Source organism: Homo sapiens, chromosome 8 (genome assembly GCF_000001405.40).
Source record: "Homo sapiens chromosome 8, GRCh38.p14 Primary Assembly".
Classification (NCBI taxonomy): Eukaryota; Metazoa; Chordata; class Mammalia; order Primates; family Hominidae; genus Homo; species Homo sapiens.
The window spans coordinates 39,561,512-39,580,931 of NC_000008.11; the positions used below are offsets into that span (position 1 = coordinate 39,561,512).

A 19,420-nucleotide genomic window follows, 5' to 3' on the forward strand; every position below is an offset into this window, starting at 1 on the left:
GCTAAACAAGATACTATACTAACCACTGATTTAATTGGGTAGTGCTTATTCTAGAGGACAGAACACTCTAGAAGCCTGAATTCCACAGTCTTATGAGTCTAGTTGCTTTAGGAAACAAAATACCCTTCTAAATCTTTGGGATAAAAGTGCTGTGTGAACTGCATTCAGTCATTGAGAGGGAGAGGGAAAAGTGAGTATTGGATGTTGAGAGCAAAGTAAGTTTTGTGTACAGACTTCTGTGGATAAGTCCACATCTTAGCCATCCCTCCCCTTCCTGTCCTTTCAGCTCTTCTCCCTCAGTTTTTCCTTATAATCTTGAGGCTGCAGCTCTTCAAAGCATTGCCAGGCTAATCAACCAGGCTCCTCTTTGCCACTGTCTTTGATATGGTTGCTTTCCCACTTCATTTTATCCATTGTTGATCTTCCTTTTTATTTCGGTATTCCAGGAAGTTCTTACATCTCTCTTCTTCCAATTGCGTCTTTTTGATTCTCCTTTATTCTCTTTTATTGGAAAAAGAGGGCTTTTGTGTTCACCAGCTCTGTCAATTCAAATTGGAATTCTCTGGCTATTTTAAAAATTCATCAAAGGTGTGCTTTGTTTTCATTTGTTGTTCAACATTGTTCAAACGATTTCAGAGAGATAAGAAAGTAGAGACTTCTTTACCTCACCTTCATGAAATGTGGGTCCTTTGTAAAAATTAAATTTAACATATATTTATATTTACCTCTATCCATACATACCTATATGAAAAGATAGATGCACTTTAACATATATCCACATCTACATCTATCTATACCTATATGACTTTAGACAGATGTACTTTATTTCTTATTTGTCAGTATCAATATACATATATCTTATTAATTTGAATAAAGATTATAAATAAAACACTCATAGATTTAACATAGTAATATACTAAGTCAACAGTATACTACATGGAAATAGGCATTTCCAGCAAGGCAAATTTGCTTAATACTGGTTGTGATACAAAGTGCCTTTGAATTTGTTATTTATAAAACTTAAACAGGAGAAGAGGTTATCAAACTGATCCTAGTCCATGTATATTAGCTAGGAGAGATAAGAACATCTAAGTATAATCATTTGATAACTGAAAAGGAATATGCTTCGGGCATATTGATGAGATCATCAACAGAGAGTTTTTCAAACTAATAAGCTAGCCAGTGAATTTAAAAAATAACATTAACTGCCTTTCTTTTACTCATTCTTATACACAGGACTATAAGTAAATATGATATTCAATATTTTATAAATATATTTAATATTTTATAAAGTAATTTAATTTTAATTTACTTCATTGCTTAATTTTTCTATAAAGTTATAAAGTAATAACATATCATTTTGATAGTGACTTCAGGTTCTATTACTACAATGAACAAAAGTCATCAAATCCAAATTTATGTTTGTGTTTATATCTTATGAATATAGTTCTTGTACAAAATACAGTTGCTCAACTCTTGACTTTGCGTTTAAAATTTTTTCTTGTTATTGGTTACTTTAACATTTTAGTTATGTGATAATGGAGTTTGCCAACTTGTGAGCACATATGCAGATAGAAGACAAGGTAACTGGGAAGAAAAATGCGGTGGACATGGGGTATGTAACAGTTACCCTATTTTCAAATAAAGTTATTTTAATCCTTATCAATAACATTTTCAAGGAAAATAATAAGCTAGAGAATTTTCTGATGTAAAAATTTCTTTTAGAAAATTGCAGCTAAATAAAGGTAACATATTCTACTATTTTAACATATATATGTGATTTATATTTACAATCAAACTGTTACAGGCCTGAGAAGCAAATAAGGTTTGAACCTTGTACAAAAATACAAAAGTAAACATAATTCTTTATTATAATGTTAGAGTCAGATTACTATAATGTTAGCTTTAGAATTTTGAAAATGGATTTAATAAGGATTACACACATATATTTATATATACACATACACATTACTCATAATTGAGTGTATGTGTATACAAATATATTTATAAACACTCATACACTTAATGTATTTATCTTATACACATTGCTTATAATCTAAGTTTTTTTGTGGGAGTAGGGTTTCCTGTTCATCTGTTAAACCCTTTAAAGACTTTATTTCCCTGTATGGATCTTGAAAAGTCAATGAATCTGAAAAATCATTTACTGTTGGTCTTTTGGATAATGTTAAATTTTAATGTAACTATTGCAAATAGTAGTACAAGATACATTGTTGTACAATGACCTTTGCACATTTATCTGATAGTTTAAGTTATTAGCAATGAAATGTGATGATCCAAATATATGCACCACTTAAATATTCATAAGTATCATTATCTTCAAGAAATATCATGACTGTTTTTTTTTTTTTGCCACGTATCATATACAGAAATATACACTTCAATATATTCTGGCCAGACTAATTTATCAGTCTGTTAAATACGTTCTAAACATGCTAAATCAATTGTTAATTTGAATTTATTTGATAACTAATAATTGAGTTCTTCAGAATGCATTTGGCTTGCACTTTGGGACCAGTGTCTTCTTCCATACTTGCATTTCATATTTATATAGGTATTTCATATTTATATATGTATATATATTTATATGTATATATTCAGAAAAAAGTGACCTATCTGCATGTCTTAGATCAGAATTTTCTCCTAAATTACTTATATATCCTATTACTTAGAGTTTCTTTTCTTATTCTTTATTATTTAATTTTAATTTACTTTGTTACTTAATTTTTTCATAAGCCTATTTCTGGGTTCCCAATTCTGCCACTGATTGTTTTCTTTTTCTGTTTTTTTTTTTTTCACCTTTTAAGTTCAAGGTTGCATGCACAAGTTTGTTAACATAGGTAAACTTGTGTCTTTGGGGTTTGTTACATAGATTATTTCATCCCCAGGTATTAAGCCTAGTACACATTAGTTATTTTTCCTGATCCTCTCCCTTCTCCAACCCTCCATCCTCCAATAGGCCCCACTACGTATTTTTCCCCTTTATGTGTCCATGTAGTCTCATCATTTGCTCCCACTTATAAGTGAGAACATGTGGTATTTGTCCCTGCAAAGGAGATGGCATTGTTCTTTTTTATGGCTTCATAGTATTCCATGGTGTATAGTTGTAGGTGTGCAGTCTTATTCCTGAATTCTCCATGTTGTCCCTTGGTCTATGTGTCCGTTTTTGTACCAGTACTATGCTGTTTTGGTTACTATAGCTCTGTAGTATAGTTTGAATTCAGGTAGTGTGATGCTTCCAGCTTTGTTCTTTTTGCTTAGGATTGCCTTGGATGTTTGGGCTCTTTTTTGGTTTCATATGAATTTTAAAATAGTTTTTTTTCTAGTTCTGTGAAGAGTCTCGATGGTAGTTTAATAGGAATAACATTGAATTTGGAAATTGCTTTGGGCAGTATGGCCATTTTTGCAATATTGATTCTTCCTATTCATGAGCATGGAATGTTTTTCCATTTGTTTGTGTCACATCTGATTTATTTGAGCAGCGGTTTGTAATTCTCCTTGTAGAGATCTTTCATCTCACTAGCTAGCTATATTCCTAAGTATTTTATTCCTTGACAATTGTGATTCCTTGATGTTCATCAATGAAAAAATCCTCAAGAAAATACTGGCAAACCGAATCCAGCAGCAAATCAAAAACCTTATCCACCATGATCATCTAGGCTTTATGTCTGGATGCAAGGCTGGTTCAACATACACAAATAAATAAATGTGATTCATCACATAAACAGAGCTAAAGACAAAAACACATGATTATCTCAATAGATGCAGAAAAGGCTTTTGATAAAATTCAACATCCATTCATGTTAAAAACACTCAATAAACTAGGTATTGAAGGAACATACCTCATAATAAGAGCCATCTATAACAAACACACAGACAACATCATACTAAATGGGCAAAAGCTGGAAGCATTCCCCTTGAAAACTGTCACAAGACAAGGTTGCCCTCTCTCACCACTCACATTCAATGTAATTTTGAAAGTTCTGGCCAGTGCATTTAGGCAAGAGAATGAAATAAAGAGCATTCAAATAGGAAGACACGGAGTCAAATTGTCCCTTTTTGCAGAGGACATGATCCTATATCTAGAAAACCCTATAGTCTCAGCCCAAAAGCTTCTTAAAATAATAAACAACTTCAGCAAAGTCTCAGGATACAAAATCGGTAGGAAAAATTACTAACATTCCTATACAACAACAACAGTCAAGCTGAGGGTCAAATCAGAAGTGAACTCCCATTCACAGTTGCCACAAAAAGAATAAAATACCTAGGGATACAGCTAACTAGGGAGGTGATCATTTTCTTATTCATCCACTACATCACATTTGAAATATTTTTTAGTTTTACATATAAATGTTGATATCTGTATCCGAAAGCACACTTGCCCTTTGTTTTTGTTTGCTTGTTTGTTTTCATAAAAGTTGGCTCTGATTGCAGCTATTTTACTTAAACCTATCACAATTCAGAATACATTTTTACTTCAATCACAACATAGTTTCTAGCTTCATAATTTCTATGCCTTTCTAGCATAAGGCATTTCAATCGTATCAAGAATGTTATCTAGTTTTATTTAAAAATGCAAGAGACAAGCCCTTGCATTTTGTGGTGGCTCACTTCTGTAATCCCAGCACTTTGGGAGGCCGAGGCAGGTGAATCACCTGAGGTCAAGAGTTCGAGACCAACCTGGCCAACATGATGAAACCCCATCTCTACTAAAAAGACAAAAATTAGCCAGGCAAGGTGGTGCTGCCTGTAATCCCAGCTACTCGGGAGGCTGAGGCATGAGAATCGCTTGAACCCAGGAGATGGAGGTTGTAGTGAGCCAAGATTATGCCACTGTACTCCAGCCTGGGCAAGAGAGCAAGGGGAAAAAAATATAAGAGACAAGAGGAAACCTTTATGATACTTAGGTATTGCATGAATATTTATCATATTAATATTTTTTCACATGAAAATAAAAACTTATAATAAAATATACTATATTATTATAATAAATCAAATTGTATTATAAATATAAATTATAAAATACTTATAAATAATTTATATTGTATACAATTAATTATATATTATATTTTATATATTATAAAATTATATTATAATTTACATTAACTGTCACAAATAATTTAATTTTTATGTTGTATATATATAATGCTCTTATTTTATTTGCTTTTGGTTTTAGGTTTGCAATACTCTGAATAATTGTCAACGTGATGTTGCATATTCTCCTCAAACTTGTAGGCAAGATAGTTCATCACCAGGAGGAAGTATTGATGATGGGTTTTGGATTTTAGGTTAGTCTCTAGATCTATGTTCCAATAGAGGTTTCTGCTCTCAAAGAAATGGTCTACATCTCTGCTGTCCTATGTGGCTATTGAGCACCTGACGTGGATGGTACAACCAAGGAACTGAAATTTCAACTGTATTTTACTTTAATTTAAATTTATATAACCATTTGTGGCTAGTGGCTGGTATATTGGATAGTGCAGCTCTAGATTGTACTGTCAACCAAACTTTTCTGTACTCTTAATTTTCATCCAGAAGTCAACATTTGAAGAATCCTTTCCTCAGCTTAATTATTAACTGAGGTCCCAAGAGCATTTCTATTTATTTAAACTTCAAAGGACCTGCCAAACCATTTTCCAGAATGGCTGTGTCATTTGACATTCCCACCAATAATATATGAATGACCCAATTTTTTGGCATTCTCACTAACATTAGATGGTATCATTATTTTTTAAGCCATTCTAATAGGAGTATATTAATATCTATTGTCGTTTTAATTGTGCTTCCTTCAGTATGTAGTGATGTTAAACATGTTTACTGTGTTTATTTGGTATCTGTATATTCTCTTCAGGGAAAAGTCTATTCATATATTTTGCCCATTTGTAAAATTGGATTGTTTGTGTTTTTTTAATATTGCATTTTGAGAAATTTTACATTTTCTAGATACAAGTATTTTTTTGAGAATACGTTGCTTCACACGTATTTTCTTCAAGTCTGTAATTAATTTTTTCAGATTAATTATTTTTTAAGTTTTATTTTGATAGGGCATTTTTTTTTCCAGTTTAGGATCATGCTATATTGAACTCTCTACCTGTCCTAAGTTCTAAAGATTTTTTGCAATGATATTTCTAAAAAATATAGTTCTTTATTTTTCATTTAGGTTCATTATATATTTTGAGTTATTTTTATGAAAGATGGGAGATACTAAGACAACACTAATTTTTTTATTTATGGATGTCCAAGTTTTCCAGCAGCATTTTTTGAAAAAGCTATTACTCATCCATTGAATTTCTTCTCTCACCTATGTCCCAAACATTGGATAGATTTCTGTTGGTGTATTTCTTAATCCTCTCTTCTTATCTTTTGATCTTTGCGTCATTTTCTCCACCAGTACCACACTGCTTATTATAGCTATGTCATAATTTTTAACATTGTAAAATAATACTTGTTCTTCAAAGTCATTGTGCCTATTTTAGAATTTCTCCTTTCATATGTATTTTAGAATGAGCAGAATAAGCTTATCTATGTTTATAAAATATCTTGCTGTGATTTCGATACAAATTGTATTAAACCTATAGACCATTTTTGGAAGAATTTGCCTCTCTTCTATTATTGAATCTTCCGGTTTATGGACATATGTATCTCCCTGCATTAGTCTGTTATCACACTGCTATAAAGATACTACCTGAGACTGGGTAATTTACCAACAAAAGAGAATTAGTTGACTCACAGTTTCACATGGCTTGGGAGGCCTCAGAAAACTTACAATCATGATGGATATGATGGGGAAGCAGGCACCTTCTTCTCAAGACAGCAGGAGAGAGAAGAGAGAGAGAGAGAGAGAGAGAGAGAGAGAGAGAGATTGAGATAAGGGGAAACAGCCACACACTCATGAAGCAACCAGATCTCATGAGAACTCCACCATGAGAACAGCATGAGGGAAACCACCCCCATGATCCAATCACCCTACCAGGTCCCTCCCTCCACACATGGGAATTACAATTAGAGATAAGATTTGGTTGGGGACACAGAGCCAAACCATGTCACTCCATTTATATAGGTCTTCTTAGATTTCTTTCATCAGAATATTGTAACTTTCAAAAATACATGTTTTGTTGTTTCATTATTGAGTACTTCATTTTCTTTAGAGCAATTATAAATGATTTTTTTTTTAAATTTTCACTTGTTCACTGTAAGTATACAGATACGCAATTAATTTTTGGGTGTTGATCTTGGATTCTGCAACATAATAGAATTCATTTTTAGTTCTGAGGTTTTTTTCTAAGTACCTTCAGATTTCTATGTAGACTATCATGTTATTTTTAAAAACAGATAGTTTTTTTCAGTATAAATCCCTTTTATTTCTTATTATATTGGCTAGAATTGAAGTGAGAGTAAAGATTCTAGCTTTAATAATGATTTTAGGAGGAGAATAATTCAGGCTTTTACTATCAAGTCTGATGCTAGCTGTAGGGATTTTGCTTTGTTTTGTTTGGAGATAATCCTTATGAGTTTGAGGAAATTTCTCTCAATACCTAGTTTCTGAGATAGTTTTTTAATATATAGCATTGGGTTTTATGAATGTATTTAGTTTCAATGGCTAGGATCATATGATTTTACCTTTTTGTCTGTTGACATAATGGATTACATGAATTTTGGATACTGAACTAATCTTGACTATCTAAAATAAATTCTTCTTGTCTATAATCTATTATTTTATCGTTAGTTATATTTTTATAAAGATAATATTCTTATTATTGCTTTTATTATTTATTTTGATTATCTATTATTTATTGCACATTACTAAATTTGACTTGTTAATACTTTGTTGAGGATATTTGTATTTTTTTTAAGATAATGGTTTATATCTGTCATTCTTTCTTCATTGTACTGTCTTTATTTTGTTTAGGTATCAGTAATACTAGCCTCACAAAATGAGATGTGAAGTATTTACTTCTATATTCAATATTACTTAAAATCGACAGTATTGCTTTTTAAAGAACATTTTCCAGTTAATTCTCATGGGCCAGTAGATTTCTTTTCAGGGAGTTTTTGAATTTTTAAAACAATTATTTTTAAATTTAAAGACAAAATTGCATATATTTATCATGTACAACATCTCATATATTGATCATTTTGGTCATGAGAACATTTTAAATCCACTCTCTTTGCATTTTTAAGAACACATCTTTATTTTCTTAATACATATGTAGCCATTCATAGCATCCATTTCATATTAGCTGAGTTGAGTAGTTTGTACTTTCTGAATAATTGGTCTAAATAATTCTTTTCTACTTCTATCAAATACTGAGACAGAAGTTTTTAAAAGCTCCAATCATGATTGTGGATTTATTTCTGTATTTGTTATTTCACTGTATTTTTCATTCCATCTTGAATCTTCATTAATTGCTGCATTCATTGGATTTTAATGTTTTCGTGTGGAATAGCTTCTTTTATTACCTCTGTAATGTATTTCTTCATATTTGTCTTGAAGTCTACTTTATCTGAAAATAACCCTCAGAGGTCATCTTTAACCTGGGGCCCATTAAATCTTTATTTTGTGTCCTTTAAAAGTCATATCACAGATTATTTAGAGAAGTAGGAATAAAAGTAGCAAAAACCAGCTTTATAAAATCTTAAATTGAAATTTAAACATAGAAAATCAACTTTTTAGTCTACATTTTTATTGTATTTCAATATGAATGAGATGAGATTAGTGCACTTGTAAAAGAGATCCCAGTGAAATTCTTCACCCTTTCCACAAGTGAGGTTATAGCAAGAAGATGGCTATCTATGAATGAGGAAGCAGGCCCTGACCACACAATGTCCCTAGCACCTTGATCTTGGACTTCCTAGCTCCAGAACTGTGAGAAGCACAATTCTGTTGCTTATAAGCCACCAAGTCCGTGATATTTTTGTAATAGCAGCCTAAACAGACTAAGATAATTATCATTACAGATTAGAGTCTTGCTTTATGTTTCTTTGGATTTGTCTGATTCATATTGTGTAATGTCTTCTTGTACTGATTTTTAAAAATTATTATGGGCAGTACAGAAAAATCTGAATTCTCACTTGTGTTCAATAATAGCTAAAATAAATAGACAATTTGTCTTCAAGACTCTTCTGTACCTTCTTGAAAACTGACACATTACTTTGGAAAACAAATTAAGAAAATGAAAGATTTACAAAGAAATAAAAAAGGATCCCAGGAATAAATCCTTTCTCGTATATGGTATAATAATTTTCAACAACACCAACAAGACCATTTGATAGAGAAAGGACAATCTTTTTAAAAAATTGTGTTGGGAAAACTGGATAATCACATGCAAAAGGATGACATTGTACCCATGCTTGTACTATACACAAAAAAATAACTCACAATGGATTCAAGATCTAAACGTGAGTTTTAAAACTATAAAAATATCAGAAGAAAATACAGGGGGAAATCTTCATGACATTGGATTTGAAAATAATTTCTTGTATATGACATCAAAACCATAGAAAACAAAATAAAAAATAGATAAATTGGAGTTTAATAATTAAGAATTGTGCATTAAAGAACACATTCAACTGAGTAAAAAAGAAATATATGAAATGGGAGAAAATATTTGAAAATTATATATCTGATAAATATCCAGAATATGTCAAAAATTCCTACAGCTCAAAACAATAAAACCCGTTAAAAATGGGCCAAGGACTTGAATACAGACATTTCTTCAAAGAAGATATATAGAACACTAATGAGTACATGAAAGAAGATATATAGATGACTAATGAGTACATGAAAGAAGATATATAGATGGCTAATGAGTACATGAAAATATATTTACCATCACTAACCTTTAGAAAAACGCAGGTCAAAACTATAATGAGATAACAATTTTAACCTACTAAAATGGCTAGTATAAAAAAATTTTAAAAAATTGTGTTGACAAGAGTGTGGAAAAATGGAAAGCCTTGCACATAACTGATGGTATGTAAAGTGATCCAGGCTTTGTGGAAAATATTCTAGTGGTTCCTCAAAAAAAGAAGCACAGAATTACCATATTAGCCAGCAATTTGCATATACATATAAACCCAAAAGTATTGAAAGCAGAGACACAGACAGATATTTTTGCATCCATTTTCATAGCAGCATTATTTCCAATAGCCAAAATAGCATGGAAATAAACTTTTCTCATACATGAGGCAGTGAAGAATCTTAAAAGCATTGAGCTCTACCATAGTTTAAGGTTGCTGCATGTTTGCTTAATTTCAACAGTTTTGCATTGCAATTCATTTCTTATATAAAACATTCTGAATCACTTTTCTTTAGACAAATCACTTTGAATCAAGATATCATTGGATTGTCTGCCTGTATGTGTGTGTGCATGCATGCAAATGTGTTTTAAAGTTACTGTTTCCTTGTCTTTTTTGATGGTTACTAAATTTATTTACATTTAATGTCATAATATTTTGGTGGCAATACTGATTGCTTAATTCATTACATTGATATTTTAGTTGTCTGGTTTATTTTTTTCATTTAACTATATAGATATTTTTGCATAGATTTTTTTTCCTCTCTAATTCTCTTGATACTTATTCATTTTTATGTTAGAGGAATATCTATTTTTCTAATTAATACAGTCAAAAGTAGAATAATGTCACATTATACAAATAATGTGGAAATTTTCCATAGAAATTTTGCCATTAACTTACTTTAAAATTAGTTCCCAAGTGTGTCAATAATTTTTCATAAAATTATTTTTGAAACAGCTTATATAGTTCTACTTTAAAATTTACTTTTAAATATTTGTAATTTTAACCAACAACTTATAATTGTATATACTTATGAGGTAAGAAGTGATGTTATGACATGTCATGACATGTTATGATATGTTATATGTATACATACAATGTGGAATGATTGAATCGAGTTAATTAGCATATCAGTCCTATTGAATACTTATCATTTAATCCTCCTATCTAACTAAAACTTTGCATCCTTTGACCAACATCTCATTTTTGCTACGCCCCTAGCCTCTGGTAACCACCATTCTACTTTTTCTATATATGTTTATATTGTGGTTCCATATGAATTTTATAAATTTTTATTTATATGAAATATAGCATTGATATTTTTATAAAAATTTCATTGAATCTGTAGATCACTTTGGGTAGTATGGACATTTAAGCAATATTAATTCTAATTCATGAAGACATGAACATGTGTATTTCTATTTATTCATTATTTCAATTTAAGTACTATCATTTATTAATTTTTAGGATTCACCCTCAGATATGTCAATAATTTTTTATAAAATTATTTTGAAACAGTTTTTTTGCTCCATTTTTAATCTGAAGAACACCTTATTAGATAATATTAAGTTAATGTGTTACATGTAGCCGTTCACAGAAGGGAATATGTTAGAATATGATAGATTAGAATATATCATGTAAATAAAGATTAAATATAGCTAAAAGTTTAAAACTAAATTTGTCAATAATATTGTATATTGCCAATGGCTGTATATTGCCAAAGATATGTGTAAGTGTACTGAGTTGACATAAATATATAATGCACTTTGGGGCACAGTTATAGAAGATTAGAAAACACTTTTAAATTCAAATTTATGTATTTATTCTATAACTGTATTTGAATTTCAAATTTTAAAATTCAAATCAGCAGTATGCTTTAAATATCATATTTGTAAAAGTCACTCTCATGTTTTCAGGAAAAAGTACACCCTTGTTTGTGAAATGACATGCTGTTCCTCAGAAAAATGGCCTTTAATCAGTTGCTACATTTTTCTACCTTTCCTCATTTTAACTGCCATCATTGGTCTTAAATGGAACAAAATGAAGGGATTTTGACACTGAGCAAAAAGTGTAAGTGGAAGGTAAGTAAACTTGTTATTTTGTATATTTAATTTTACAAAAGGACTATGGGAAGAATTTGAGTATAAATTTAAATATTACAAATAGGAATTTTGAGAAGGATTGGGTTAATGTTTAGAAAAACTGAATGAGATATTGAATAAGAAGGTCTTACTATACACCAAAGTTTCTTTTCAGATTTTGGGCAGTTAGGTGTTCTACATATTCTTACAGGGCAAGGAACAACTGAAGCTGCTCATTAAATCCTCATTGCCTTTCAAATAGAAAGCCCATATTGGGGCGGGGCATGGTGGCTCATGCCTGTAATGCCGGCACTTTGGGAGACCGAGGAGGGTGGATCACGAGGTCAGGAGTTTGAGACCAGCGTGGCCAGCATGATGAAACCCTGTGTCTTAAAAATACAAAAAATGAGAAGGGCGTGGTGGCACATGCCTGTAGTCCCGGCTACTTGGGAGGCTGAGGCAGGAGAATTGCTTGAACCACAGGCAGAGGTTGCAGTGAGCCGAGATCATGCCACTGCACTCCAGAGTGAGACTCCGTCTCCAAAATAAATAAATAAATAAAAGCCATATTGGCTGAAATTGTTTGAGGATGTTCTTTGGATTTCCCAGACAACCCCACTTTTCATGCATTGACAGTCATTTGTATCAAGGATATCAATAGAGACAGTTGGGGAAGCAACTTTTGTGAATAGAATATGTAGAAGGTAAGAAAATAAAACAGGAAACGAGGGAGAGAAAGTAGATAGGAAACTGCACTTTGTGCACAATTAATATTCTTCAATGGTTTCTAAAATTATTACAAAGGTTTTTGCAGTTATTTTCTTTGCTGTAACATCATTGCATACTCAGTAAATATTTAGGGACAGAAGAATACGGATAATAAGGATAATAAGTGGATTTCTGTTTCTCACAGTTGAAGATGAAGATTAAATAATGATATAGAATTTCTACTAACACCTCTGTTTGCAAGCTAGATAATTTTATGTATCAACAAGTTAGCAGTAGCTAGCAGTTTAAAGTAATTGCAAAAACCGTAATTACTTTTGCACCAACCTAATAATTTCAGAGTAATATTCTGGATTTTTTGGAAGACACATAATTATCACATTGTTATAAATTAACTTAATTGAATGATAGCTAGCATAAGTCTTCTTTTGCTCTTAAGACATCTTGGAAATATGTGAATATTTACTATAAGTAAATATGAGTAATGGAAAAAATGTTGTAATAAGAGATTAATGGTTACAAATGACAAAATCTGTTCAAGCAGCCTCTTTTACAACCATAAGTGGTTTCAAGGCTGCAAGGGTAAGAAACTAACTAGAGTTGAAGCACAAAAGACAGTAATGAACTGGATGGCCAGGAACTAAGTCATTTCATCCATTACTGATTGACATTACCCCTTCTTGTCCCTGTCTATTCTCTTTATATTGACTGCTCTGGCTTTGACTTGGCCCAATACCTCTATCTCAACCCTTTCTATATTCACTTCCAAACAAAATAACAATAATCTTAGTCAATGTCTTTTAGTTAATATTCTCTGGAGACAGAAGAAAATAGCAGTGCAAGGGCACCTAAATTCATCCTGTATTCTATCTGGATTTATAATTCTGAGTTAGTTGTTCAAAACTTATCTTAAGAAAAAAACGGAGGCTTTATAAATACCACAAAATGAAACTAAATGTATCTGAAAGACACAGAGGCCTCATTAAGGGCCTCATTAATGAAAGAGAAATTATAGTCCAAATAGTTATTTACATAGTTATTAGTAGAAATACTGTAACTGTGTAAATGGTAATGTAAGAATTTGAAGATGTGCACTTATATATCTTTTTAACTGTGGAGAGGCATTATCATAGATATATTAGTATCTCATTCCATCTTCCATGTAGACAGGATAGAAAAAAATAATAGATTTTTAGTTTGAAATTTTTTAAAAAAGTCTTAAAACCTTTAAAAGTTAGACCAACATTAGATAAAGGCCAAACACAAAAATATATGCTGTCTGAGAGGTATATGGAAAGCAAAGTGGATATTGGTACCTACTAATTAACTATCACAAATGTAGCTTTTTTACTCTTCTTGATTTTGCTTAAGATTTTGCTTCTTGATTTTACAATGGCTATTAACCCTAAAACCAATGTTAATCTCTTTTATACGGTTCTACATCAGAAGACAGCAGTAGTAGCAGCAACAGTAACAGCAGTAGTGACAGCAACCAGTCATAGAGGTAAGTGATATAATTCATAATACATACATATTTAAAAATTTTTAACAACACCTTAGTATGAGAAAGCTATTATTCCCATATTTTATCATCCGAACTTCTACATTTTAATATCATATGCTAAGCAAAGACTAAAGTATTTTATGTTATTATTATTTTATGCTTATTTGGAAATATTTTAATGTAACTGATATTAGCCAGATATTTATAAAAAATATTTTTGTAATAAGAAGTGACTTCCAAATTATTTTACATACATTCTTAGAATATTTATGAATAATCATATTTCCTGCTCCTTCATTTAAGATTCTAATGTGTTTAGAAATTGGTAGATCTAATTGATTTACACAGATTGTTTCCCTATATTTACATTTTTTCCTTAATAACACTACATTGGTATTATTATCCTTATTTTAGAAATAAGAATATGGATGTAAAGAATTTAAATAATTCTTCATATGTATAGAGTTTTAGTGAGTTTTGCATTGGCGTTTAACTTAAAGCAATCAAACTCTAGAGTAGAAGCTTACAATCTTAAAACATATAGCCTGATATGTGGCTAGGGATAAGGAATAGAATAAACATGGATTGAGGACCTAGTTGATGCTTAGCAAAATGCTAAGTATACTCTCCCTCTGAGGCAGAAAGACAATTAATTATTTACTATGAAATGGCTTGAAATAGGCATATGTATGTACTATTCAAATTCATATGTGTAGAAAAATAATAAAGTTTGATGTTAGGCCTATCACTGGCAGTAAATTGAAAAGTTCAAAAATTCAATCTAGAGCAAGATCAAGATTTCATCCAATTGTTTATCTCCCATTCCTTCATATCAGACTTTGAGTAATAATTATGTCCATGGGTCTCTATTTCCTTATCTGCCACCAAATAAAACCTTTATAACTAGTAACCTCAGTGTGAAAATTTTATTCATGCCTAGACCAATCTCTACATCCTCCTTAAAAACTTTATTAGAAGCCCATGTCTTACCTGAGGATTCTGGCACTTGGCTACTGCCTTCTTCTCATGTCCTTCAATCAGAATCTCACCATCCTGCTGCGTGTCTTCACCTGAACTCCCTACCACCACCATCGGCCAACCACAGCCATTTTCTCCTAGAGCTTACCATTTCCCTGATTTCTTCCAACTCATAAGTCATAAATGCAACATCTTGCTTTCCTTTTTTCCTCTTTTCACAGCTTCCTTCTGCCAACAGTACCTTCTGGTTGCATTGAAGTCTTGCCTCAATAATTTGAGATAGAGGGTTAGGCTATCAGTCCATAAATAATAGACATATAAGTTGATGATATAGTAAATTGAAACATTATTAATCATATACAAAAGATTATAGCAGTAAGGATGAGTGGGGGAGTTGCTGTTGAGGAAAGTATTGGATAACAATTTTACATATTTTTTCTCTCAATAAGTCCTATAGCACAAGTGATTTGTAAGCAAATAATCTGAAGGAGGTGAAATAATTACTCAGTTTTAATCATTGAAAGGAGTTACCTGAGTTCAAAGGATGAACTCACAAAAAGCTTTTATTTAAACGCAAAGGGTACAGTGTAGCAAGAGAGAGTGCAGGCAAGCATTGGGGGTCAGAAAGACAAGGGGCTCCAAGGTTCCTTAATGTAGATTTTAAACAGCCCATTAACAATCCCAATGCCTTTTTCTCAACAAAAAGTCAAAACCAGATACCCAGGCTTTCCTAGAGATAAAGATTGAGTTTTTCCATTCTAGCTGTAAATCAAATCTATCCTACAGAGGCATGGAATTGGCAGAATTACTCATGCATATATCTAGGCAGTATATTTCCAAGCACATGAATGATATGATACAAAATAAGTTGGGAATGTTTGAAGAATACCAAAGATGTCAGTCCACCTGGAGCAGAGTTACTAAGAGGGCTATAGTTGTGGTTAGATCAGAGAAGTAACACCATGGAGGGTCTTGGAGCTTTTGGAGTCTGTCTCTGTTTTACTTTGAGTGAAAGGAAGGAATTACTGAATAGTTCAGATTCCAGCCACACGGCCTTACTCTTTAAAAGGCCGACTTGTTGAAAACTGTCTGTATGATCACAAGAGTAGAAGTAGAGAAAATACTGCAATAATACATGAGAGAAAAGATAGTACTTCAAACCAGGAGTGGTAAGGATAATCTTATGGATAAAATTTGAAGGTGACTCAGCAGAATGCATTGACTGTTTGGATGCAGAATGTAAGAAAAAGTGCTTAAATAATATGTCTATTGATGTAAAGCAGGAAAACAGCAAGGCTAAAATGTAAAACTAGGCCTGTTTCTAGAATGTGGGCTCTTCATACTTTTTAAAAGTCATTTGCAAGTCTATGAATACTGAGATATAAAAAAAATAGGTAACAGTGAGCCAAGACAAGTAACTGGTATGCCACAATAAGGATTTTAAATGTTTTTCTATATGAGCAAGAACATAAAGTATTTTTGAGGTTGTAAGAGAGATCTGGCATGACATGTTTTGCATTTACCTATTTCATTGGGATAAAGTAGGCAGAATGGATTCTGTCAGAACTGCAGACTGGTGAAGCAGCTAAGAGACTACTGAGTGCACAGGAAAGGTGTGATGAGGGCAGGATTAGAGAGGAGGAAAAGCACAAAAATATTTTCAGGAATATGACAGAGGCAGAATCTGTTGGATTGGTTACTGAATGGATATATTTGGATTAGAATAAAAGAGAGAACTACAAAGACCTCTACTTTTCTGGCAGAATGGATAGTGACACCTTTTACCAATTGTTGCAGGAAGTCAGGGACCCTGAATGGAGGGACTGGCTGGAGCCATGGCAGAGGAACATAAATGGTGAAGATTTCATGGACATTTATCAGTTCCCAAATAATACTTTATAATTTCTTATGCCTGTCTTTACTTTAATTTCTTAATCCTGTTATCTTCATAAGCCGAGAATGTGTGTCACCTCAGGACCACTGTGATAATTGTGTTAATTGTAAAAATTGATTGTAAAACATGTGTGTTTGAACAATATGAAATCAGTGCACCTTGAAAAAGAACAGAATAACAGTGATTTTTAGGGAACAAGGGAAGACAACCGTAAGGTCTGACTGCCTGCAGGGTCTGGCAAAAAGAGCCATATTTTTTATCCTGCAGAGAGCCTATAAATGGACTTGTAAGTAGGAGAGATATGACTAAATTCTTTTCCTAGCAAGGAATGTTAATATTAATACCCTGGGAAAGGAATGCAGTCCTGGTGGGGGGAGGGGGGCTGCAGTCTATAAAGGGCCGCTCTGGGAGTGTCTGTCTTATGTGGTTGAGATAAGGACTGAGATACGCCCTGGTCTCCTGCAGTACCCTCAGGCTTATTAGGGTGGGGAAAAACTCCGCCCTGGTAAATTTGTGGTCAGACCAGTTCTCTGCTCTCGAACCCTGTTTTCTGTTGTTTAAGACGTTTATCAAGACAATACGTGCACAGCTGAACATAGACTCTTATCAGTAGTTCTGTTTTGCCTTTTGTCCTGTTCCCTCAGAAGCATGTGATCTTTGTTCTGCTTTTTGCCCTTTGAATCATGTGATCTTTGTACCTACTCCCTGTTTTACACCCCCTCCTCTTTTGAAACCCTTAGTAAAAACTTGCTGGTCTGAGACTCAGGCGGGCATCATGGTCCTACCGATATGTGATGTCACCCCTGGAGGCCCAGGTGTAAAATTCCCCTCTTTGTACTCTTTCTCTTTATTTCTCAGCCAGCCAACACTTATGGAAAATAGAAAGAACCTACGTTGAAATATTGGGGGCGGGTTCCCCCAATAACCAATGACATACTGTATAGTAGGGAAAGAACTGTCTTAGGTTGGGGTGAGGAAGTGGAGGGGAGTGAATGATGATTATGGTTTTGAACGTGTATATGTGGAAACCTGTTGGAAATACACTGAGGGCTTTGGAAAATTCTCTCCCTCTGCAGATACATATATAATAGAGAAATTAATAGGAACTCTTTTGTATTTCTTCACAGGTTTGCATTGCTCTTTCCCCCTCTGTTTTCTCGTTGGTGATTTCCATTTATTGATGTAAATTTAGAGACCATGTTAATGAAACCTGTGTGACTACCAATTTATAACATTTACTTTTAATGTGGCTATCACAAATTATTCATGAATAAGGAACTTTGCTTTATGAATGTCCTGAATACCAGGCACAAATTATTAATACAACAGTATAGCAAGCAGTGTCTTATTTGAGTAATTAATTGCTATACCTGTAGTTGCATTATAAAAGTAGACAACTTTTATTAACAACGAAAATTTAACATTTCTATTTTTCTATATTTCTTTTACAACAGTAACTACATGATAACATCAAAAGCCATAAGATAGAGAAAGGATATTACCAAGAAACTTACCATTAACTGGCTTGATTCAACAATGAAAACAAAAATCGCCTTTTTTCTCCTTTCATTATGGCTTAAAGCTTTCAATTGCACAAACAAAATAAATTATATGACAGGAAGTATGCAAGCGTGTGTCTATTTATTATTCTACCTGCCATGAATCTTTAAGTAGGAAAAAACCACTTTTGCTCTTTTTCACCCAGAAACCTGTTGTCACGCGCATCCGTGTGAAGACACCACCAAGCAGGCTTTGTGTGAGCAATAAAGCTTTTTAATCACCTGGGTGCAGGCAGGCTGAGTCTGAAAAAGGCGTCAGCAAAGGGAGATGGGGTGGGGCAGTTTTATAGGATTTGGGTAGGTAGTGGAAAATAACAGTCAAAGGGGGTTTTTCTCTTGCAGGCAAGGGCAGAGGCTACAAGGTGCTCGGTGGGGAGCTTCTGATATTCATTGTCCAAGAGAAAGAATTTCACAAGGTCAATTGATCAGTTAGGGTGGGGCAGGAACAAATCACAATGGTGGAATGTCATCAGTTAAGGCAGGAACCAGCCATTTTCACTTCTTCTGTGGTTCTTCAGTTGCCTCAGGCCATCTGGATGTATACGTCCAGGTTTGGGCTCAGAGGCCTGACACCTGTTACATCCTAAACTGAAAACTTTCAGATTCTTCAGATGCCCACAACTGCTCCCGTCTCAAGAGAGGACACCAATAGCCACACCTCCAATAGTTCATGATTCCCCTGCCCTCTCTGTTCCAGGCATTAGGATACCGACTGGAAGAATTGATAGATATTCACTCTCATAGCCCCCAGATAGTCACTAGTATCCCTTCTACTTTAAAGAAATTGCTCAAACTGAGTTTGAGGTCATAGTACCATCAGGTACGTATGCTTCGTTGGCCCTGTATAAACTGATCTGGAAGA

General features: G+C 32.9%; 1 long non-coding RNA gene across 1 annotated transcript; it reads left to right on the forward strand.

Annotated features, from left to right (window-relative positions):
- Positions 1-1,600: 1,600 nt before the first annotated feature.
- LOC100130964 (ADAM metallopeptidase domain 3A-like) lies at positions 1,601-18,623 on the forward strand. Its single transcript, NR_046245.1, has 5 exons — positions 1,601-1,615; positions 5,195-5,306; positions 11,733-11,897; positions 14,070-14,127; positions 18,454-18,623. It is a non-coding gene; the product is annotated as an ADAM metallopeptidase domain 3A-like (long non-coding RNA).
- Positions 18,624-19,420: the final 797 nt, after the last annotated feature.